At 37.8% G+C, this 22207-nt stretch overlaps 1 long non-coding RNA gene across 2 annotated transcripts in view; it reads left to right on the top strand.

Moving 5' to 3' along the window:
* LOC105374976 (uncharacterized) overlaps nucleotides 1-22207 on the top strand; it is a 289589-nt gene that overhangs the window by 4846 nt on the left and 262536 nt on the right. The window contains exons 2-3 of one of the 2 annotated variants that reach the window (XR_001744046.2): nucleotides 12736-12826; nucleotides 15439-15546. This is a non-coding gene — a long non-coding RNA (uncharacterized LOC105374976). Of the gene's footprint in view, nucleotides 1-12556; nucleotides 12827-15438; nucleotides 15547-22207 lie in introns of those variants that run through there. The other variant, XR_007059501.1, reaches the window with a different exon arrangement.

Below are 22207 nucleotides of genomic sequence, written 5' to 3'. Positions count from 1 at the left end.
AAACTCTGGACCTATTATATTCCTCTAAAGAGTTTTGTGTTTGTTTTTGCAAACTGTTAACTTGGCTTCACTCAAAATGAAACTTCTGGTGTTTTTCTTTTCTTCTTGTAGGTGATGGCAGCTCAAATTTCAGTTCAGTGTTTTTAGTCTTACCAGGGCTGCTTGTAGTTTGCATTATTCATGGGCTGTGCAAGGGTCAGCCAGAGACTTAGGCAGATCGTATACACAGACTTTAAGGGTCCTCCCCCACTTACTTTCTCCTTTCTGGAATTTGTGCTTTCAATTTCAAGGAATATGGTTGCCCAAAACTCTGTTCTGATTCATCAAGCCAGCAATGTTGAGGTTTTACTGTTGGAGTTGTAGCTGTCTCACGTGGGATACCAGGAACTGCACTTGGGAAAAACTGTAAAATAGGAAACTATGTATCAGTACTGTATTAATTTCCTAGCGTTGCCATAACAAATTACCGTGAATATGGTGACTAAAAACATAAGAAACTTATCCTCTCACAGTTCTGGAAGCTAGAAGTCCAAAATTAACATGTCAACAGGGCCTTTCTCTCTCTGGAGAATCGATGTAAGGATCCTTCTTTGCCTTTCCCTGGCTTCTAGTGTTTGCCAGCAGTCCCCAGCAATCCTTAGTTTGTAGACACATCGTTCCAATCTCTGCCTCCATCCTCATGTGGCATTCTTCCTGTGTGTCTCTATTGCCAAATTTTTATAAGAAACCTAGTTTTCCCATATGACCTCATTCTAACCTGATTATATGTGCAAAGGCCTATTTTGAAACAAATATTTGAAAATACATTCACAGGCATCAGGGGTTAGAACTTGAACAAATCTTTTGGGGAACACAATTCTATCTATTACAATTCCCTTTTTCTAAATATTTCTCTTTATATTTGGCTCTCTTTATTCACTCTCTTTATTTGGCTCTCTTTATTCACTCTCTGGAATTCTCTTTATTCACTCTCTTTATTCACTCTCAGTTTGGCTCTCTTTATTCACTCTCTGGAACTTTCAAGCAGTTGATGTCTATATTTTGCTCTGAGTTCACAGTTGTTATTCTATAGGAGAAACTGGGTTAAACTTAAAGGGACACTATTCTCTCTGACAGCTAAGTCTCTCTGTCTTTCTCTTTGTCTCTGTCTTTCCCTCTCTCCCTCTCTCCCTCCCTCCCTTTCCCTCCCTCCCTCTCTCTCTCCCTCTCTCTCTCCCTCCCTCCCTCCCTCTGTCTCTCCCTCCCTCCCTCTCTCTCTCCCTCTCTCCCTCCCTCCCTCCCTCTCTCCCTCCCTCTCTCCCTCCCTCCCTCCCTCCCCCCTCCCTCTCTCTCTGTCCCCCCTCCCTCTCTCTCTGTCCCCTCTCCCTCTCTCTCTCTCCCCTCCCTGTCTCTCCCCCTCCCTCTCTCTCCCCCCTCTCTCCCCCCCTTCCCCCATCTCTCCCCCCCTCTTCCCCATCTCTTCCCCCCCGCCCCCTCCCCCTCTCTCTCTCCCCCCCTCTCCCCCCTCCCCCCACCTACCTATCTAATGTGTCTATCACCCTCCTTCCTCCCTCCTTCCTTCCCTTTCCTTCCCTTCCCTTTCCTTCCCTTCTCCTTCCCCTTCTTTCCCTTCCTTTCTCCTTCCTTCCCTTCCCTTCTCCTTCCTCTTCCTTCCATTCCCTTCCCTTCTCCTTCCCCTTCCCTTCTCCTTCCCCTTCCTTCCCTTCCCTTCTCCCTCCCTCTCTCCCTCTCTCTCTCTCTCTCTCTCTTTCTCTTTCTTCCTTCCTTCCTTCTTTGTTTCCTTCTTTGTTTCTTTCTCATCTATATGCTTTCTCTCTTGTGTTGTCTCCCTTGCTATGTTTGTGTGTATCTCTACCTCTTTTACCACTGCATAAATACAAGATCCAAGCCTTTGTAACTTAGGGTAAAAAATGTGTGATTCCACTGCATTTCAGTCAGGATAATTCTTAGCTGTTTATTATATGTTTCCTCCTCAATCACAAGTTTGTTTTATTCTTTAAAAAATAAATAGAATAAACAAATGAAACAGAAAATTAGATTTCCCTGTTTGTCTTATATTTTCGTGACAATTTTATCTCAAATTTAAAAACAGACAATGAAATATACTAAAACCACACATATTTCTCTATTACTACTTTTCCTCCCTCTTAAAAAATGCTTTGAAAATTTCACGTTTTGGGAGTCAGAAATAAAAGTAGGCAAAAACATTCTCTGTCAATAAATACTTACGATTTTCATGGAGTTGTTTGTTTGAACCTCAGTTCCTACATTAGCATGAGGATTATTGTGAGGATGAAATGCATCATTTGAGTTACAGTGTGTGGCACATTCAAGCAGAAAGAGGCCTTGTTCACAACAACTTGGCTTTAAATTAACATTCATATTTTTCCATGCTGTCAGTACTTCTTAATAAATATTAATGGGACTTGGAAAATTACAACTTTGTAAATACAACCAAATAACTAGATAAGGTAAATGGAATCCACCCTATAGATAACTTGTACCATTCGTTGGCTTTGATTTGGGTTTTTCCCTTGAATCACCCCTTCAGGATCACCCCTGGATACTCGTACTGTGATGATCCAGGACCATGCATAAGATTCCAGACAGTTCTCTCAAAATTGCTAGTTTTTTCTCTTTTCATCTCTCAGAGACCTAGGATTATGTGCAGCCACCTTCTCTGTAAATTCTGCCTTAGTAAGAAATGCAGCAAGTCTTTTGTTAATTTGAGTATTCAGGCTTTTTAAGTATAGGATTCACTTTTTTTTTGTATCCTTAGGCACTCAGCTTTGCCATGCCTACAATGTGGATAATAACATGTGCCTTATGCATGCTTCTGAGAAATGCAAGGAAAGTTAATTAGAAAATGTCAAGAAAGCTCTCCAAGATCCTCAGAGGAAGAACATCATGTGACCACAATGTATCATTAGTATAAAAATAAATCATTCCCAATCCCATAACTCTTAAAGGGTCTTTACACATTGCTAGTGCATTTAAGAAATAAAATTACAGACTCACTGAACTGGAAAGAATCTCAAGATGTCAAACAGTCCATTCTCTGCTTCAGGAGAGACCATAGTTCTTCCATCCCCTATGACTTCCTAACCTATTTTTAAGACTTCTAAGGAAAATTGTTCTAAAAACTCATTTGATAATTGGTGTCTACTGTTTTGTATCTCTCCGCCACACAAGCATGTTCTTTTAATCTACTTTTTAGGAAATATAATGAAATCTAATTGAAAGGACTGTGATTCAAGATACAGACTGGAATTTCTTAGTCAAGAATCACTGACTTCAACTATTTTTACACAGCTAAAGTCAGTATTAGATATAAGGTAGATGACAGAAATGGGAAATGATCCTGAAATTAGGTCAGTGTCTTGATGATAAGTCTTTTATTTAAAAGAATTTTCTTGGCCGGGCGCGGTGGCTCACGCCTGTAATCCCAGTACTTTGGGAGGCTGAGGCGGGCGGATCACGAGGTCAGGATATGAAGACCACCCTGGCTAACATGGTGAAACCCCGTCTCTACTAAAAATACAGAAAATTAGCCAGGCATGGTGGCGGGCGCCTGTAGTCCCGGCTAGTCAGGAGGCTGAAGCAGGAGAATGGCGTGAACCCGGGAGGCGGAGCTTCAGTGAGCCGAGATCAGGCCACTGCACTCCAGCCTGGGCAACAGAGCGAGACTCCGTCTCAGAAAAAAAATAATTTTCTTATTCAATTTTATGAATCTTTTGCCACATGAAGTTGTACAAGATGTTCATCTCCTCCGTTCTGGTTTTAATTTTATCTGTCTTATATGGACTGTCGATGAAAACTCAGATTTTTAAAAGAAGTCATGATAGGATTCGAGCAAAAAAAATTAGGACATACGCTTGAGGGAATTTTAGATAAAGCTGGCCCTCAATATTTTCTTGAGTATAGTAAGAATGATCATCTGTGAATATTCATAAAAGTCATTAGGCCTCATTCTACTATAGCTTGGCATTCAAAACAGTATAAACACTGACCAAATGGATTTATTTTAGGAAAGAAAATGTTTATGCACTGTTTCATTTACAGGTATACATTTTAGGTGACATTCATCTGAAAACCATATATAATATGAATTTTTTCATTTTTTATAAATTTTAAACCAGAGTTATGCAGTTGTCAAAGAACTCACTTGACTGTTTCTGCAGAGCAGATAATGACCTCCCTTCTTTTATAAGGGACTTGGTGTCTCCCCTGAACGGTGACCTGTTCACCTGTGTTTGTCTTTTCTCTACCACTTTCTAGTTCTCTGTTCTTTGGCCAGTTTTATGATACCTCTGAACTCCATTGGCCCTTGGACCTATTGAGTTTGAAAAATTCTTAAGCTAAACAGAGATATCAAGCAAATCATTGCAGAAAGCTTCAAGATTTATTAACTCAGCAAAAATTATGAACTTGTAGTTCTATAATAACTTCCATTTTAAGCTATCAAAATCTTGTTATAATGTTATAACAAATACCATTATCACATGCTTTTCTATAACAACCTATGGTCAAGATTTTGTGATAGATACTACTTTTGAGCAGTTTGATGTTAAAAAATCCAATATTATAAAATAAAGAAGTTTATTGGAGTTTATATTAACAAGATATGCCTTCAATGGAACATTTGATTTTAACTCTTCACCTTCTGTACGTTGTTTGGAATTATGAGGGGAATTATGTTGAAAACCAAGACATTTATTTCCATGCATCCTGATCCTATAGACAAAGCACACATTGGAAAGGGGGAAAAAAAAGAAACAAATTAGAAGCAGAAGATCAGAAGACATGCATGTGATTTCTATTCGATGATCTGGAACTGATTTTTTGTCCAAAGAACATCAAAACTAATGTTAAGCTTCTTCTAGTAGCAGTGATTTAAACAAACAAGTGTGGGGACTTATTTTTAGACATAAAGGTACATGGCCAGAGGTTTTATGCAGGATTGCTATGAAATAAATTCCTCTCAGGTTCTTGTAAAAGACGGTATTTGAATTATGAGTAGACATAGCCCATTTTCCACATTCTGTGAACCACTGACGATTTCTCACTGCCTAGATTGTGGCAAGGGAACCTCCCCCTTTTGTATTTCTATTGAGTTTTCTCTCTACGGTAATTATGAGTTTGGGGATCATTAAAAGTCTGATTTTTACTTCTTATTTTGGGTACAGAAGACTGCTTTTGAAGCTCCATGGCTGATCAACAACATGTTTTAAAAGGCTTTTGATGTATACATGGCTCATTAAGTAAAGGTCAAAATTGGACAATGTCCCGTTAATTTCCTTTTGCTAGAAAAATCAATATCTGCATCAACGTTCATTAAATTTGACAGAAGCTAAGAAAGTTAGCTGTGAAATGTAAATCAATACTTATTCCTGATAGGATTAACTTGCTGTACAGAGAATATAAAACATCAATACTTTATACACATTGTTCCACCCAATATTCCACTCTGGCTTTAGGGAGGCCGCATTTTGTCTTTTTGGCCTTCAACCCTAATCTGGTTTTGGGTTTCTGTTAGCTGGAGCTAAATATTCTATCCTTGAACAAGTTTTACAGTTTGTTAATATATACTAAGTGTGATCATTCCTTTTTTATTAAGTTTGCAAGTTCATAGTGTGCAACGTAATGGACTAAATTTAAAAGGCTAAATCATGCCTTCAAACACACACACACGCACACACACAATCTAAGCATTTTAAAGTTTTAGAATCAATGTGTAATTTGCAGATTAAAAACCTTCATTTTTCCCCACCATATAATAATTAACAGACCTTTTGATATGCTATCAATCCTAGAAGAATTTGGAAAAGTTTAGCTTATTCATACACAAATGCCTGAGAGTTTGGTTTGTTGTTATCCTCAAGACTGTGTGCCGTATGATTATGTGTTTTCATGAACCTAGACCCATTTTTTGTTGACACTCATGTTCATAATTATAACTGTGATATTGAAAGATCCTGAGACACCTTTTGAAATGAAGGATATTACATGATGTGCACCATAGTTGCAGTTGATGCATTTTGATTTTTTAAATGAAAAATTAATATAAGACAGCCATTTACCCCCACCCAAGCAATAGATAAGGATCTCTGGTTATGTCACATTTACCCAGAAGTCTGAATAAGAAATTATTTCTTTCTCCCTCTGAACAAATTTGGATTTGTCAAAATTCTCACTGGGGAACAGATGCTAGACACCACTGCACCCGGCCATGTCCTTCCTCTTCAGTGGTTTTCTGTTTGCTCAGGGATTTCTCTGTAGCATCAGAACTGGGCTTGGTTTGCAATAGGACAAAATCAAACCAGAGAGAACTGGACTCCATGGGCTGAGCTGAAGGAAGTTATCTTAGAGGAATTATAACAGAAATGAAGGAGGAAACACTCAGACATAGGAAGCAGAGATGTTGACATTTTTCATGCAGAAGTTAGAGTGAGTGATCATTTTGAAGAATAAATAGGGGCCAGGTGCAGTGGCTCACACTTGTAATCCCAGCACTTTCAGAGGTGAGGAATGAGACAGGCCTGGGCAACAGCGTGAGAGCCCATTTCTACAAAAAAATAGAAATAAGTCAGCTGGGTGTGGTGGTGCATACCTGTGGTCCCAGCTACTCTGGAGGCTGAGGCGGGAGGATTGCTTGAGTCTAGGAGTTTGAGGTTGCAGTGAGCTGTGATCGTGCCACTGTACTCCAGCTTGGGTGACAGAATAAGACCATGTCAAAAAAATTTAACAAAAAAATAAATAAATAGAATTTTATTATTTTCCCACTTTAAAAGTTTCAATAACTTCCTAGGCAACTAAAGTACCTATTTCTTAACTTGGTCTCTAAAATCTCACATGCTCTGATGCCATACCTCTTTCTCTGTATTTCTCTCCTATCACATCATGTCTCATCTGCTACCTGTTTAGTAGTGTTTTTTTCCTTCCTAAAACGTATCACAGGCCAAAATTTTCTTTTCTGTTTCGCTGTGTGAAAGACGATTCCCATAGACTGTCCTATGGCCAACTCTGATCAGTCAGGCCTTGGCTTGAGTTGCATCTCTTCAGAGACACCTTTCCTGATCATCCTCTAGAGAAAACAATCCCCCTACCTTGGGCATGCCTTATGGCATTATGGTCAGGATTTTTTTTTTTTTTTAACTATAAGTTCGGGATACATATGCAAAACATGCAGATTTGTTAAAAAGGTTTACACATGCCATGGTGGTTTGCTGCACCCATCAACCTGTCATCTGCATTAGATATTTCTCCTAATGCTATCCCTCCCCTTGCCCCCCACCCCCTTGTGTATGATGTTCCCCTCCCTGTGTCCATGTGTTCTCATTGTTGAACTCCCACTTATGAGTGAGAACGTGGTGTTTGGTTTTCTGTTCCTGTGTTAGTTTGCTGAGAATGATGGTTTCCAGCTTCATCCATGTCCCTGCAAAGGACATGAACTCATTCTTCTTTAAGGCTGCATAGTATTCCATGATGTATATGATGGCCACTTTTTTCATAGCACTTGTCAGTCATCTGAAATGATTTATTTAGTTTGTTTGTATGCCTTCTCACTAGAATACAAACTTTACGGGTTAGGGATTTTGTAACTAGAGCAATGTCTGGCATACTAAGCATTTAAATACATACTTATTGAATGTATATGTATTGAATATATATGTTAATTCATTAGTAAATGAATTAACAGGAATAAATTAGAACCCTTTATTTAAATCGGCTCAAAAGGCAGGCAGTTCCAATCAGCTCAAAAGGCAGACATTCAAGTACCGGAGACTCAAACAAGGATCCAGTGAATTAATGTGCAGTGACATTGAGTCCCACATTTATGTTGAACTCAAATTCTGTTAACGGGCTTTTACCTATTTCACCATGTCAGACTTTGTCTTGGGAGAAAAACCTTTGGAAACCAGAGGCCATGCTTGTTCCCCAATTCCAACTTTGTGCCTCCAATTCTTTTTGGTTCTTCTAGCAAGCCCACCTGATTCAGTTCTCTGTTGTGCTGCCCAGACATTGACAACTCACTCACAGGCCATCTGAGACCTCTGGATGTTAGTTCATCTGCCAGTAACTCTGCCTGCTCCTAGATGCTGATAACTATCCGCTGGCAAAACCTGGCTCCCTCTGTATATCTTCTCCTATGACCTTAGTGCAAGATCTATCTAGTCTCCCCGTTACAAGTCAGCCTAGCTTTGTCCATGCGCTAATGCTACAGGACTTCCCAAGTTCCCCCTGGTAGGGTCAGAACTGGCCTGAGAAGTCTATTCTGAGGAATGTTGGCATCATTGCCTCCACCAGTTCATATTTTGAAGATGTAGATGAGAAATGAGTACTTATCAATGAGACTGCTTAGCATACTTGAAAAGTTAACAGATCTATCATATTTGGATTGAAATTTCTGGAATTACCTGAGTATATAACTTTCACATATATAAAATCATAAGCAAACCTACTTACTGTAAAACTGAAAAATTTAAAGTTTCAGAGCCTTTTCTTACATCAGACCCTCCCATGGCCTTGAGAAGAACACTAAAACTTTGTTAACATGTTCACATTTTCATAAAAATTTAAAAAGAGTATGATATTCCCTCTGATTTCCTTCTATCACATTTCCTCCAGGTTCACTGGTGTTGGAGTGGCTGTAGGCATTTTAGGGGGATCTAGTTAAGAGGAAATTAATGTGGGAATACATTTATGGTGGATTTATTGGGATATATTTATGTGGTTTGCAATCATTTTCATGTACACTGAAATTATTGCTAGCCATCCTGATAAATTAAAGCCTCAGGTTTTCTCTCAAATTAGATATTTTCATTAGTCATTTAATACTAATACAAATACTTCTCACCCTAAGGAAACAATGAGCATATCAAAGTAAGTCTTCTTTTAGAAAAGTGTCTGCTGCTGATGTGTACGGTTTTGCAGGTGACACAATTCACATTACAATAGAATAGTGCCTTTATATTTTACTGTAGGTATATGTCTTTCCCTTGGCTTTCCCTGGAAGTTCAGAGATAGATGCATGAGATACAGGGGCTCTAAAAATTTTTTTAATTAACATTTTCTGTAAAAAAAGATTTCCCATAGACCATTGTCTAATGTGAGCACTAAGAAAACAGCATGTATTGATTTCATAATAACCTTTATATAATCATGTCTGTTTGTCAGAGAAAATTTGTCTCCTTCAAAAATCAAATTAGAACTATGAAGTATAAAAGGATAAGGTTGTTCCCCCCCTCTTGATCAAAATAGCACACTGAGTAGACTTGATTTGCGGTTTCGTTATTGATGTTGGGCAAAAAAAGATGACAAAAGAGTAAGTAATGTGCTGCCGGGTATGTCTTTGATTTGGGCTTGATTAGGGTAGTAGGAATACAGAGATTTTACAGCCTAATGGTGCTGTCTGGAAGCAGGCTGGGGAGTTGGTTCAGCTTTGAGTTGAACTATCTCTCCATCAGAACACTCACTCTCACAGCTGGTACTAATCGGGTCATGCTGCCTGGGCTTAGCAGATGGGGTGAAGAGGCAGACTGCACTTTCACTGGGGCCGATTTGCTCCAAGCCACAAGTAGAGGCTGGTGTCCTTCTGTTGACCCATGCTGTGCTCGCCCTTTGGCTAATCAGGATATCTCTGTCTCTTGAGCTGTCAGCCTCACATCTCCCAAGATCATTATTTCATTAAAAACATTCTGCAGCAAAACATTGTGAGCTTTTCTGTCTACTGCACTGCCTGGATGAAATGGCTTTAAGCCTTCAGCAAGATGCCAAAATCCTCAACTCTGTAAGAAAAAGGATCACTCAGTACTAAGTATTCAACAAAAAGAAAGTCTTTGCTTTTGAAGCTAAGACACCTTTAACTTACAGTTGTGCAACATTTCAGGAAATAAGATTTTATGTTTTGAAGCAATATAATAGCATTGAATCTTGGAGGAGAAGTTAAAGGTAGCAAAGAAAATTTTTACCAAAAAGGAATTCCATAAAAAGAGAAGAGTAGGAAACAAGGCGTGCAAGTGTGAAGAGCCCTCGGAGAATGACAAGGAATTGACAGGGAATACAGAATGTTTTTATTACTCAAATACAGATGAAACTAAGATGGATACGACAATAACTTTTTTGCCAACTCTGATACATATTTAACAGAAATATTTATATCTAGACCATTGTTAGAAAATATGACACCTTTTTAAATGAAAGAACACACTCTAAAGTAGTAAGTTGTTATGCAGTTGAAATATAAACTGAATGAAGTCCACATTCCAGGCCCATTTTTATAATGGCTTTTATTTCATTTCAAAGAGAAAAGCATATTTCTTTCCCAGCTCTAACTTCTCACATGAAATCCTGTGGGATAAAAATTTCTGAAGATTAATGAGTTCTTAATGACCTAGTTACCTCTTAATTATTGAGACAACATGTGTTAATAATCACCAACCTTTCTCAATGAAAAAGTTTCAAACATGTGCCAAATAAATATGCATTTTATTCACTCTAACAAATAGTACCAGCATTAAATTAATGGTAACAATAAAATGGGGCACAACAATATTTTCATGCTTATATTAGGAGTCTGCAAGAAAAATTTCTTGCTACCTGTGTGGGAAATTAAGAAAATCCAGGGAGAAAGCATAGATACTTCCCATCAGCTATATGATAGAATGGTGTGTTCCACAAGATGAGAAAATAATATGCACTTTTAAAATGGCCACACTTTTCATCCTACACAGGTTATTCAGTAACTAACAGTGACCCCTAGAATGATTATGTTTTTGACATTGCAAAAAGACAGCAGATAACTTTTTGTGTTTCCAACCTCTTATTCTTTGCTTTAGGGCATTTGAAATTGGATATGGGGGTAAATTCTGATGTTCTTTCCATTATTGTAAAATGAATCACTGGAAAGCTTGAGGGGTTCTGCTAGCAATTGTTAATGAGGGTTTATTAACCTAGGACACCACCCTATGGAATAATACCATAGTAAAATAGATGGACTCCTAGGACACACTTGTTTTATTAATAATGCAGCAGGGACATAGTCAAAGGCTCTGGGGAATGAAAATGTCCAGGTGAATGGGGTCTGCGACTTTTCCTTTTAGATCAGCAATTCACCACTGGCTCAAGGCAGATATGGCCCCAATTATACATCACAGTTATTAAGTCAGTCCTTGTAGATTACTTAATGCTGGAACTGACAGTCTTTCTCTATCATCTAATTAGTTAACCTTAATTCTGTGTCTAAATTCATGGATTTTTTTAATTAAAAATGTAATTTCTACCTGACTTTTGGGACTTCAAGATTTGAAAAAAAGAAAATAAATATCCACTATAATATGATATAACCAGTTTTTGTGGTTTTCAATCTGAGGCACAGTTTTGTTTGTTTCCTGTCTTTTGAAATGTAATAATGTCAGAGAAGGTCCAGGAAAGGAGAAATGAGTCCTAAAGGGTATTTGAGTACCTGGGTTGAGAAAGAAAACAAGATTCACATTAAAAGTGGGAAGAGAAATGAAAACACAACAGACAAAGGTAGGCACAGTTGCGTGGAGACGTGAAGCTTTGTAAGGACACCCGCACAATGTGCACATTTGCGTTCTCTCTCAATGCTCCATGAATCTTCAAAGAAAAAATGTTAAACTTGGTTGAAAGTTTTCAAGGAAAAGAGGCTCCCCTCAAACCAGCTAAATTGAATACTGCAAAAATGACTGACAAAAAACTACCATTCTAGTTTTGGATCCTCTCAGACTGAATTTTCTATGTAGCTCCACATAGCTGGTGTTTGGTTCTGGGTTACCCTTTGAGGACTTACTATAGTGATGTTCTGCTTGGAAGAGGCAGAGAGAGCCCAGTAACTGGCAAATGCATACTTGTAAACAAACAGACATGGGAGGTGTGTATAACAATTTGCAGTCACTGCCGTCTAGTAAGAATTTGAATTGGTGACCAATTTAGGTGCAGGGTTTTTTTATGCATTTAGATATCATTTATCCTGAGAAGTGCACATTACTGAAATGAACAGGAGACCCCACTGGGACTTAATTAGAGAAGGCTAAACTGGGAAGTGACAGTTTCCATGCTGTTATGGAGCTGTGCTCTAGCCCTTGTTCTGAACTCCTGTGTAATACAATTAATATCCTGTATCTAGTTTTAATAGAGGCAGTAACTCTAGTAAGACACATTATTACTTCTTGGCCCAAAGAGAAATGTTCATATATTTCTCTCCTCACTGTTATCTGTCAAGCTGACTGGCTTCGTCTGTACCCTGAGACATTACATATTCGGGAAAGCAGTTGTTTCCATATGTCTTGCGGGAAAGCTATCATTTTTCAGAAACGCAGGAGGTGCACAGAACATTTTTCGTTTTTGCTTTCCCTCTGCATATATCAGGTGGTAGCCATTATAGCATTCCCAGCACATACCACTGATGTTAGAACTGGAGCTTCTATAACCTATGGTTTGTATTTATTTCATTGGGAGGCAGAGTTATAAAGCTGCTTCCTGACATACAGTAACAGCTGCTAAGCCTCTGTACACCCATCTTACAAAAGAATTCAGTAGGAGCAAGAGAAATTTGGTCAAGGACAGCTACTAGGAAACTTAACTATCATCTGAAATTGAATTAATGACAAAATTCTCAGCATCCTACTTTTGATCTATTTACTAACATAGAGAATAATGAAGATATTACTTTTATTTTTAGCCAATATTTTTATTATAATTTGTTTCCTCCAGACTCCTTCTACATCTGTTGTTCAAGGTTCAGACTCAATATGCAACTAATTTATGAAGCCCGTTTAGACCACAACAACCCTGATGCAAGATGGTAAGGAATTTCTTATTTTTTTCCCTGCAGTAACTAAAGACTATTTATAATATCTATGTTTTCCGTATGTATTACTAATGGACTTTTTAGAGCAGTTTGAAGTTTACAGAGAAATGGAGCAGAAAGAATGCAGTCCTCATATTACCTTCGTTATTAATACCTAAAATGGTACATTTCTTAGAATTGATGAGCCAATACTGATAGGTTATTATTAACCAAAGTCCATAGTTTACATTAGAGTTCACTCATTCTGTTGTACATTCTATGAGTTTTGTCAAATATATAATGACATATATTCACCATTAAAAGCACAGTGGCTCACGCCTGTAATTCCAGCACTTTTGGAGGTCAAGGCGAGTGGATCACCTGAGGTTAGGAGCTCGAGACCAGCCTGGCTAACGTGGTGAAACCCCGTCTCTACTAACAATACAAAAACTCAGCCAGGCGTGGTGGAGGGTGCCTGTAATCCCAACTACTTGGGAGGATGAGGCAGGAGAATTGCTTGAACCTGGGAGGCAGAGGTTGCAGTGAGCTGAGATCATGCCATTGCACTCCAGCCTGGGCGACAGAGCCAGACTCTGTCTCAAAAAAAAACAAACAAACAAACAAGAAAAAGAAAAGTATCAGAATAGTTTAACTATCCTAAAAATCCCTTATGCTTCATCTCTTGGATCCTCCCCACTTTCTCCAAATCCTTAGCAACCATTGATCTTTTCATTTTCTCTTTGGTTTTGGCTCTTCCACAGTGTCTTATGGTTGAAATCATAAAATATGTCTTCATTTCAGATGCACTTATTTCACTTAGCAATATGCTTTCAGTGTTCCTCTATGTTTCCTTGTGGCTTGATAGGTCATTACCTTTTATTGTTGAATAATATATCATTGTGTAGATGTACCACAGTTTGTTTATCTACTAAAGAATGCTAAAAAGTTTTGGATGCTAAAAAGTTTTGGCAATTATGTATAAATCTGTTATAGGCCAGGCGCGGTGGCTCACGCCTGTAATCCCAGCACTCTGGGAGGCCGAGGCAGGCAGATCACGAGGTCAGGAGATCGAGACCATCCTGGCCAACACAGTGAAACCCAGTCTCTGCTAAAAATACAAAAAAATTAGCCGGGCTTGGTGGCAGGCCCCTGTAGTCCCAGCTGCTCGGGAGGCTGAGGCAGGAGAATGGCGTGAACCCTGGAGGCGGAGCTTGCAGTGAGCCGAGATCGCGCCACTGCACTCCAGCCTGGGCAACAGAGCAAGACTCCGTCTCAAAAAAAAAAAATATCTGTTATAAACATCCATGTGCAGGTGTTGGTGTGGACATATGTTTTCAACTCCTTTGGATAAATAGTGAAGAGCCTGATTGCTGGACCTTATGGTAGGTGTAAGTTTAGTTTTGTAAGACCCTACCCAACTGTCTTTCAAAGTGGCTGCACAGGGCACAGTAGCACATACTATAGTCCTAGCTACTTGGGAGGCTGAGGCAGGAGGATCACTTAAGCCCAGAAGTTTGAGGCTGTAATGTGCTATAATTGTGTCTGTGAGTAGCCACTGCACTCCAGCCTGAACAACGTAGCAAGCCCCTGTCTCTAAAAATTAAAAATAATTTTTTAAAAAAACAACAATAAAAAATCCCCACAAAGTGTTGTAGAATTCTGCATTCCCACCAGCAATGAATGAGAGTTCCTGTTGCTCTATATCCTAGCCAATATTGGGTGTCATCAGTGTTCTAGATTTTGGCCATACTAATAGATGTGTAGAGATATCTTGTCATCTTGATTCACATTTTCCTGATGACATAAGAGGTGCTGCATCTTTTCATATGGTTATTTGCCATCTGTATATCCTCTTCGTTGAGGTTTCTGTTATGGTCTTCGGCCCATTTTAAAAATCAGGTTGTTAAGCCCAGTACAGTGGCTCACACCCCTGTAATCCCAGCACTTTGGGAGACTGAGGTTGGCAAATCAGTTGAGTTCAGGAGTTTGAGATCAGCCTGGCCAACATGGTGAAACTCTATCTCTACTAAAAATACAAAAGTTAGCTGGACATGGTGGTGCACACTTGTAGTCCCAGCTACGCGGGAGGCTGAGTCACAAGAATCGCTTGAATCCAGGTGGTGGATGTTGCAGTGAGCTGAGATGATGCCACTGCACTCTAGCCTAGGTGACAGAGCAAGACTCTGTCACAAGAAAAACAAATAATAATCAGGTTGTTTATTTACTTACTGTTGGGTTTTGAGAGCTCTTTGTGTTTTATCACGTGTCTTCTTCAAGTATTTTCTCTCAGTCTGTGGCTTGTCTTCTCAATCACTTGACATTGTCTTTTGCAGAGCAGAAGATTTTATTTTAATGAAGTCCAGCTTATAAATATTTATCTCATGCTATGATTTGGATGGGGTTTGTCCCCACCAAAACTAATGTTGAAATTTCATTGCCATTGTAATGGTATTGAGAGGTGGTGAGGCCTTTAAGAAATAATTATGTCAATAAAGTGGATTAATGTCTTTCTTGCAAGACTGGGTTGGTTCTCTTGAGACTGGGTTAGTTTTCCCAAGAGCCAGTTGTTATAAAGCAAGGTTGCACTTTGTGTTTTACACCTTTGGCATGCCTGCTTTTCTTTCCAGTTCTCCACTATGTTAAGATGCAGCATGAAGCCCTTACCAGAAGCTAAGAGTATTCCGTTAGAGCAACACAAAACAGACTAAGACAACTTGTTCATTACTGATGTACAGGTAAGAGGTTGACATTTGTATATTAATCTTGTACCCTGAAACCTTGTTATAATTGTTTATTATTTCCAGGAAATTTTAAATCTGTTTCTTCCAATTTTCTGTAAAGGTAATCACGTCATTTTTAAACAAAAATAGTTTTATTCTTTATTTTATTCTTTATTCGTCCTTCCCAATCCATATACATTTATTTACTTTTCTTGCCCTATTTTGTTAGCTAGGGTTTCAAGTGCAATGTTTAAGAGTAATAAAAGCAGTTATAATCCTTGTCATAGATCTTAGAGAGTAAGTTTCTAGTTGCCTTCCATTAAATATGATGTTATCTACATTTTTTTTTGTAGATAATGTGCATCAATTTGAGGAAGTTTCCCTCTATTCCTAGTTTACTGAGAGTTTTTTTCATAATTGCTTTGGATTTTGTCAATTTTTTTCTGCATCTATTGACTTGATCATGTGGATTTTTTCCTTTTTAGCCTGTTGATATGATGGATTACATTAATTGATTTTTGAATGTTGAACCAGCCTTGCATACCTGTGATAAATCCCACTGGGTCACTGTGTATAATTGTTTTTATACATTGTTGGATTCCTTTTGCTAATATTTGGTTGAGGATTTTTGTATCCATTTTTACGAGATATATTGGTTTATAGTTTTCTTTTCTTGTGATGACTTTGCCTGGTTTTGGCACTAGGGTAATGCTGTTCTCATAGAATGAGTTTGGATGTATTCTCTCTGCTTCTACCGTCTGGAAGAGACTGTGGAGAATCATATACTTTATTCTTCAATTGTTTGATACAATTAATCAGTAACTCATTGGCCTGGAACTTTCTGCTTTGGAAGGTTAATTGTTGATTCCATTTATTTACTAGCTATAGGCCTATTTAGACAATATTTAAATTATTTTGTGAATTTTGGCTGATTGCATCTTTCAAGGAATTGGCCCATTTCATCTGCGTTATCAACTTTGTGGGAACAAAGTTGTTTATAATCCTCTTTGATTATTCTTTTAATGTCCATGGGATCTGTAGTGATGTTCTGTGTTGCATTTCTGATACTAATAACTTGTGTCCTCTCTGGTTTTCCTTAGTTAGCCAGAATAGAGTTTTATTAATTGTATTGAATTTTTCTAAGAAATAGCTTTTGATTCCACTTGTTTTTCTTATTGATTTCCTAATTTTAATTTTAATAATTTCTGCTCCAATTTTTATTATTTCTTTTCTTTTTCTTACTAGGATTTAATTTGCTTTTCTTTTTCTAGTTCTTTAAGGTAGAAACATACATTATTGATATCTGATCTTTCTTCTTTTCTAACATATTCATTTAATATTCTAAATTTTCCTCAAAGCACTGCTTTTACCACATCCCCTAAACAGCAATAAGTTATATTTTCATTTTCATTTACTTTATATTTTAAATTTTCTCTTGAAGTTTCTTATTTGGCCCATGTGTTATTTATGAGAGTGTTGTCCAATCTCTCTGTATTTTGGGAATTCCAGTTACATGTATGTTACTGATTTTTAGTTTATTTTCATTGTGTTCTGAGGGCAGATATTGTTTGTACATTATTTTTGAAAATTTGTTCAGGTGTTCTTTTATGACCCAGGATGTTGTCTCCCAGGAGTGTTGTCCGTAAGAGCTTGAAAAAAAATGTGTGTGTGTGTTTCTGCTGTTGTTGGATGATGTAGTCTGTAGATATCAATTAAATCCAGTTGATTAATAATGTTCAATTATGTCTTTAATGATTTTCACTGCTGTTCTCCTTGAAGTTTATAAGTTTTTGCTCATTTAGTTTGATGCTCTGTTGTCAGGTGCATACATGTTAAGGATTGTTATGTCTTCTGACATAACAGAAGACATAACAATCTTTTGCGTAATGTCATTGTGTAATGCCATTATCATTTATCATTGTGTAATGCCATTATTAATCCCTCATATTTTTCATTTTAAAGTCTGCTCTGTATTAAATTAATGTAACTACTCCTGCTTTTTTTGATTGGTATTAGCATGGTGCATTTTTTTCATTAATTTACTTTTAATCTATATGTGCCTTTATATTTAAAGTGGTTGCAGACAACATAGGCTTCGTCTTATTTTTTGATCCACTCTGACACTCTCTGTCTTTTAAGTTATCATTTTGACCTTTGATGTTCAAAATGATCATTGATATAATTGGATAAATATCCACCACATTTTCTATTTGTTGCCTTTGTTCTTGGTTCCTATTGTTGTGTTCCACTCTTTTCTGCCTTTTGAGATTTTAATTGAGCATTTTATATAATTCTGTTTTATCTCCTTTCTTGGCATGTCAGTTTCATTTCTTTTTTTGACTCTAATGTTTGCTCTATAGTTTGCAATACACATTTACGATGAATCCAAGTCTACACTCAAATAGTGTTATACCTCTGTACATGTAATGCAAATACTCTGTCATAACTAAACATTTCTACTTCCTCTCTCCTATCCCTTATATTATTGCTTTCATTCTTTTCACTTATATGTAAGCATATATATTTATGTATGTGTAAACATATATAATCAATATTATGTTGACATTATCATTTAGAACAAACTAATATCTTTTAGATCAGTTAAGAATCAAAACTTAAGTTTTTGTTTTCTTTATTCCTTCTCTTCTCTTTTCCTTCATGTATATTGTAGTTGCTGACCTATATTATTTTATTTTTCTTTAGCAAACTTTTAAAAATATTCCTTGCAAGGCAGGTCTACTGGGAACAAATTTTCCCAATTTTTGTTTATTAAGGGTAATTTCACGGAGTACAGAATTTTGTGTTGGTAGCTTTTTTCTCTCAACGTTAAATATTTTAGTCTACTCCCTCCTTGCTTTCATGATTTATTAGGATAATCAAATGTAATTCTTATTTTTTACAGGCAAGATATTTTTCCTCCCAGCTTATTTTAGGCTATTTTATCTTTGATTTGCTATAGTTTGAATCTGAAGAGTTGATATCTGAAAGAGGAAGAAAGAGAAAGTGAAGTGATAGAGAGAGAGAGAGAGAGGGTGTGTGTGTGTGTGTGTGTGTGTGTGTGTGTGTGTTTGCGTGAGCTTAGAGAGGATATCATGTTAATTTGCTGATTAAAAAGTTCTAGCGGAGCAGGAGAGAAAGAGAGAGAGAGTGGGGGGAAGAGGACAAAAGAACAGGAAAGAAAATACATAACTAATAGCACATACCAAATTTAGGAAAATTTTGAGGGAGATGAGTTATGGGTCACAGGCTGAAAGATTGGCATTTTATAGCTGAAGGAACAGCTTTATATAACATGTGGGAAAGAGGTTTCATGACAAGAAATTGAGGAAATTCCAGTCTACCACCTTTTTTTTGGTTATTACTGTATAAACTTGACATCATCTTCTGAGAGTAAAAAGGAACTGTTTTTACTCACAATACTTCTGACATTAAATGCATGGTGACTTTTCCAACAACATTTCTCCAATTCTCTGACATCAGCTAGGTGTGTCATAATTCAGTTCAATTCCGGCACTGTCTACCTGGAGTCAGTATCAGATCCCAAAAATTAAGGGCTCAGTCCCACAAGACTGCCCTTACTTCAAATACCAGTCATAAATTCAGGGTTATCACCAGTATTTCTGACTAACGGGCTTTATATTCAGGAAGTTCACACAACCCCTGCTCATGTTTAATAATTTAATAATTTACTATGTTGACTCACAGAACTGAGGAAAATGCTTTACTTATTACTGGTTTATTATAAAGAATACAACTCAGGAACAGCCAAATGGAAGAGCTCCATAGGTATGGGAGTGGAGATTGTACAGAGCTTCCATGCCCTCTGCTGTGGCTTGTCCCCACCAAATCTCATGTTGAAATGTCATCTGCATTGTGGTGGTGTTGGAAAGTAGAGACTAGCAAGAGGTGTTTGAGTCATGGGGTGAGAACTTCATGAGTAGATTAATGCCCTCATGATTCCTCTGGGAGTGAGTCAGTTCTCTATTAGTTCCCAAGAGATCTAGTTCTTATAAACAGCCTAGCACTTGTTCCCTCTTTCTCTTGCTTCCTCTCTCACCATGTGATCCCTGCACATGCAGGCTCCCCTTCACCTTCCACCATGAGTGGAAGCAGCCTGAGGCTCTCACCAGAAGCCAAGCAGATGCTGATGCTATGCTTCTTGTACAGTGCACAGAACCATGAGCCAAATAAACCTTTTTCTTCATATATTACCCAACCCCATGCCCTTCTTTATAGCAACTGTACACAGATTCTTTCTAGCACCTTGATGTATTCATCAACCTAGAAGCTCTCAGAAGCCTGTCATTTAGGGCGTTTTATGGAGATTCTATTGCATAGACAAGATTGATTAAATCACAGGCCATTGGTGATTAAGTCAATATCCAGCCCCTCTCCCCACTGTGAAGGTGAGTTGGGGGACTGAAAGTTACCACCTTCTAATAATGCTTTGGTCTTTCTGGTAACCAGCCCCCATTCTGAAACTATCCAGGGGCCCCCACCTACCAGTCATCTCATTAGCATACAACAGACACTCTTATCACTTTGGCGATTCCAAGAGTTTTAGAAGCTGTGTTCCAGGAAACAAGAACAAATGACCAAATATTAAGTTCTTATGATATCACAGTAAGAAAGTAGGGAATTCATTTGCTGTCTTTATTGCAGGATCTTGCTTGTTGCTTTTATGCCATAGTAGATGCTATGCTGTGTTGCCTAGATCCATTCTTCAAGTATGGGTGGGAAGAGAATGGCCTTTCACTTTACATTGTATAAGAGGGCCAACTCTGCTTGTAGTGAATAAGGAAAACCCATTTGTTTGAGAGCTTCCACTGAAAGTTTGAACGTTTTTGTTTTATTTTGTTTGTTTTTAAATCAAAGAATGGTCATATGTGAGTTAAGCACATCTTTACATGAGTGAAAATATCTGCATTAAATCGAAGTTGGATCCTTTTATTTTTCTCTCCACTCCTCCATCTTCTGTTATCAGTTATTTTACATTGCAAGTAAGCACGTACTCAATGTTAAGTTGAAAACTTGGCTCTTCTTTCCTTTTCATTATGAAGTACTCATTCCAAATTTCAAAGTTCAAACTCACAGCATAGACATATGAAGCTTACATAGGTTTGCAAAGGAAGGGTAAAAGGTGATAGAAGAGGAAGAGAGATTTTTATGATTAATACTCTGGATCGTCTATGCAGCATACATTTTAACCTTGAACTTCTTCCAGAATTTTCTTTTCATGGGCTTTATGGCCAACTGCCTCCAGATAGACACATTTCTTTCTACAAATATCCTTTTAAATTTGATACTTGGGCCATATGCTATGCTGTTTCACTCTGATTTTCAGGCAGAACTCTCCTCAATCTACATTTATAGTCATGTACCATATAATGACATTTTGGTCAATGATGTACCACATACACCACAGTGGTCTCATAAAATTATAAGGGAGCCAAAAAATTCCTATCACCTAGTGACATTGTAATGTTGCAGTTGACACATTACATTTTCTGTGTATAGATATGTTTAGATACATAAATACTTACTAGTAAATTAAAAGTGCTTCCTGTGTTCAATATAGTAACATGTTATACAGGTTTGTATCCTAGGAACAATAGGCTATCCCATATAGCCTAGGTGTGTAGCAGGTTATACCATCTAGGTGTGTGTAAATATACTTTATGATGTTTGCACAACAACAAAATTGCCTAATGATACATTTCTCAGAATGTGTTTCTGTAGTTCAGTGATACATGACTGCAATTATGTGGAACATTGGTCTTGCTAAAGGCTTCCAGCTGTACTAGAACCCCCTGGAATTTACTATTTCTCCCAGATCAGAAGAAGCATGAATGTTAACTAGGACTGCAAGATACCAAGTAGTTAGTGTATATAAAGATGTGTTCACAACCATTATTTGCAGGTGATTTATGACATTCTGATTCCAATTCTTGTGGAAGATTCTTGCTATAGAAGAATATATTCCCTGCTTTGGCAAGTTATTGATAACTTTATTCATTAGAAAGGTAAAGGTCAAGGAAGCTCTGCCTGAGTGGTTGCATAATGAGGATCTCATACACAGTTTGGGTGTAAAAGTTCTGTTGGGCTATAGTCATCAGTCAGAGGCACAGTTAGCACGGATTAACTGGTTGTCTTTATGGCAGAATGTCACTTGTTGCTTTTATGCCAAAGTAGATGCTTTGCTGCACTGCCTAAATTCACTCCTCGAGCACTCATTTCCCCAGTCACTGAAGAATGGTACAGATGACTCTCAGCCCAGGAATTGCCCTAAAAAAAGCAGTTTTGCCTCATATTATACCCTCATGATGTAGGCCACATTCAATCACTGGACAATGTGGGGATATAATTCTGATCTCCTTTGCCCTATTAAGGGTATCTCTGTAGGACTATCCCAGCCTCCAAGCTTTCTGTGAGATTATCTGGGACCTCTTGTGCAACTGTACCTGAGTGCCACTCCTCCCTCTGTGAAATCCTGTTCCCCTCCCTCTGTTAACAGGTGTTTCTGAAAGCATGCCCCAATAAACTGTCTGAATGCAAATCTCCATCTCAGCATTTGTTTCCTAGGAAATCCACAGAACATACTTAGTGTCAGGACTAGTCATAGGGAATAAGCTATCAAAAAGATTTTGGAGCTGGATCATCTGCCAGCCTGCTAGCA

The sequence above is a fragment of the Homo sapiens genome, chromosome 6 (genome assembly GCF_000001405.40).
Source record: "Homo sapiens chromosome 6, GRCh38.p14 Primary Assembly".
In the NCBI taxonomy this organism is placed as follows: domain Eukaryota; kingdom Metazoa; phylum Chordata; class Mammalia; order Primates; family Hominidae; genus Homo; species Homo sapiens.
Note: the sequence above shows the minus strand (reverse complement) of the source record. Positions and strands in the feature narration are given on the sequence as shown.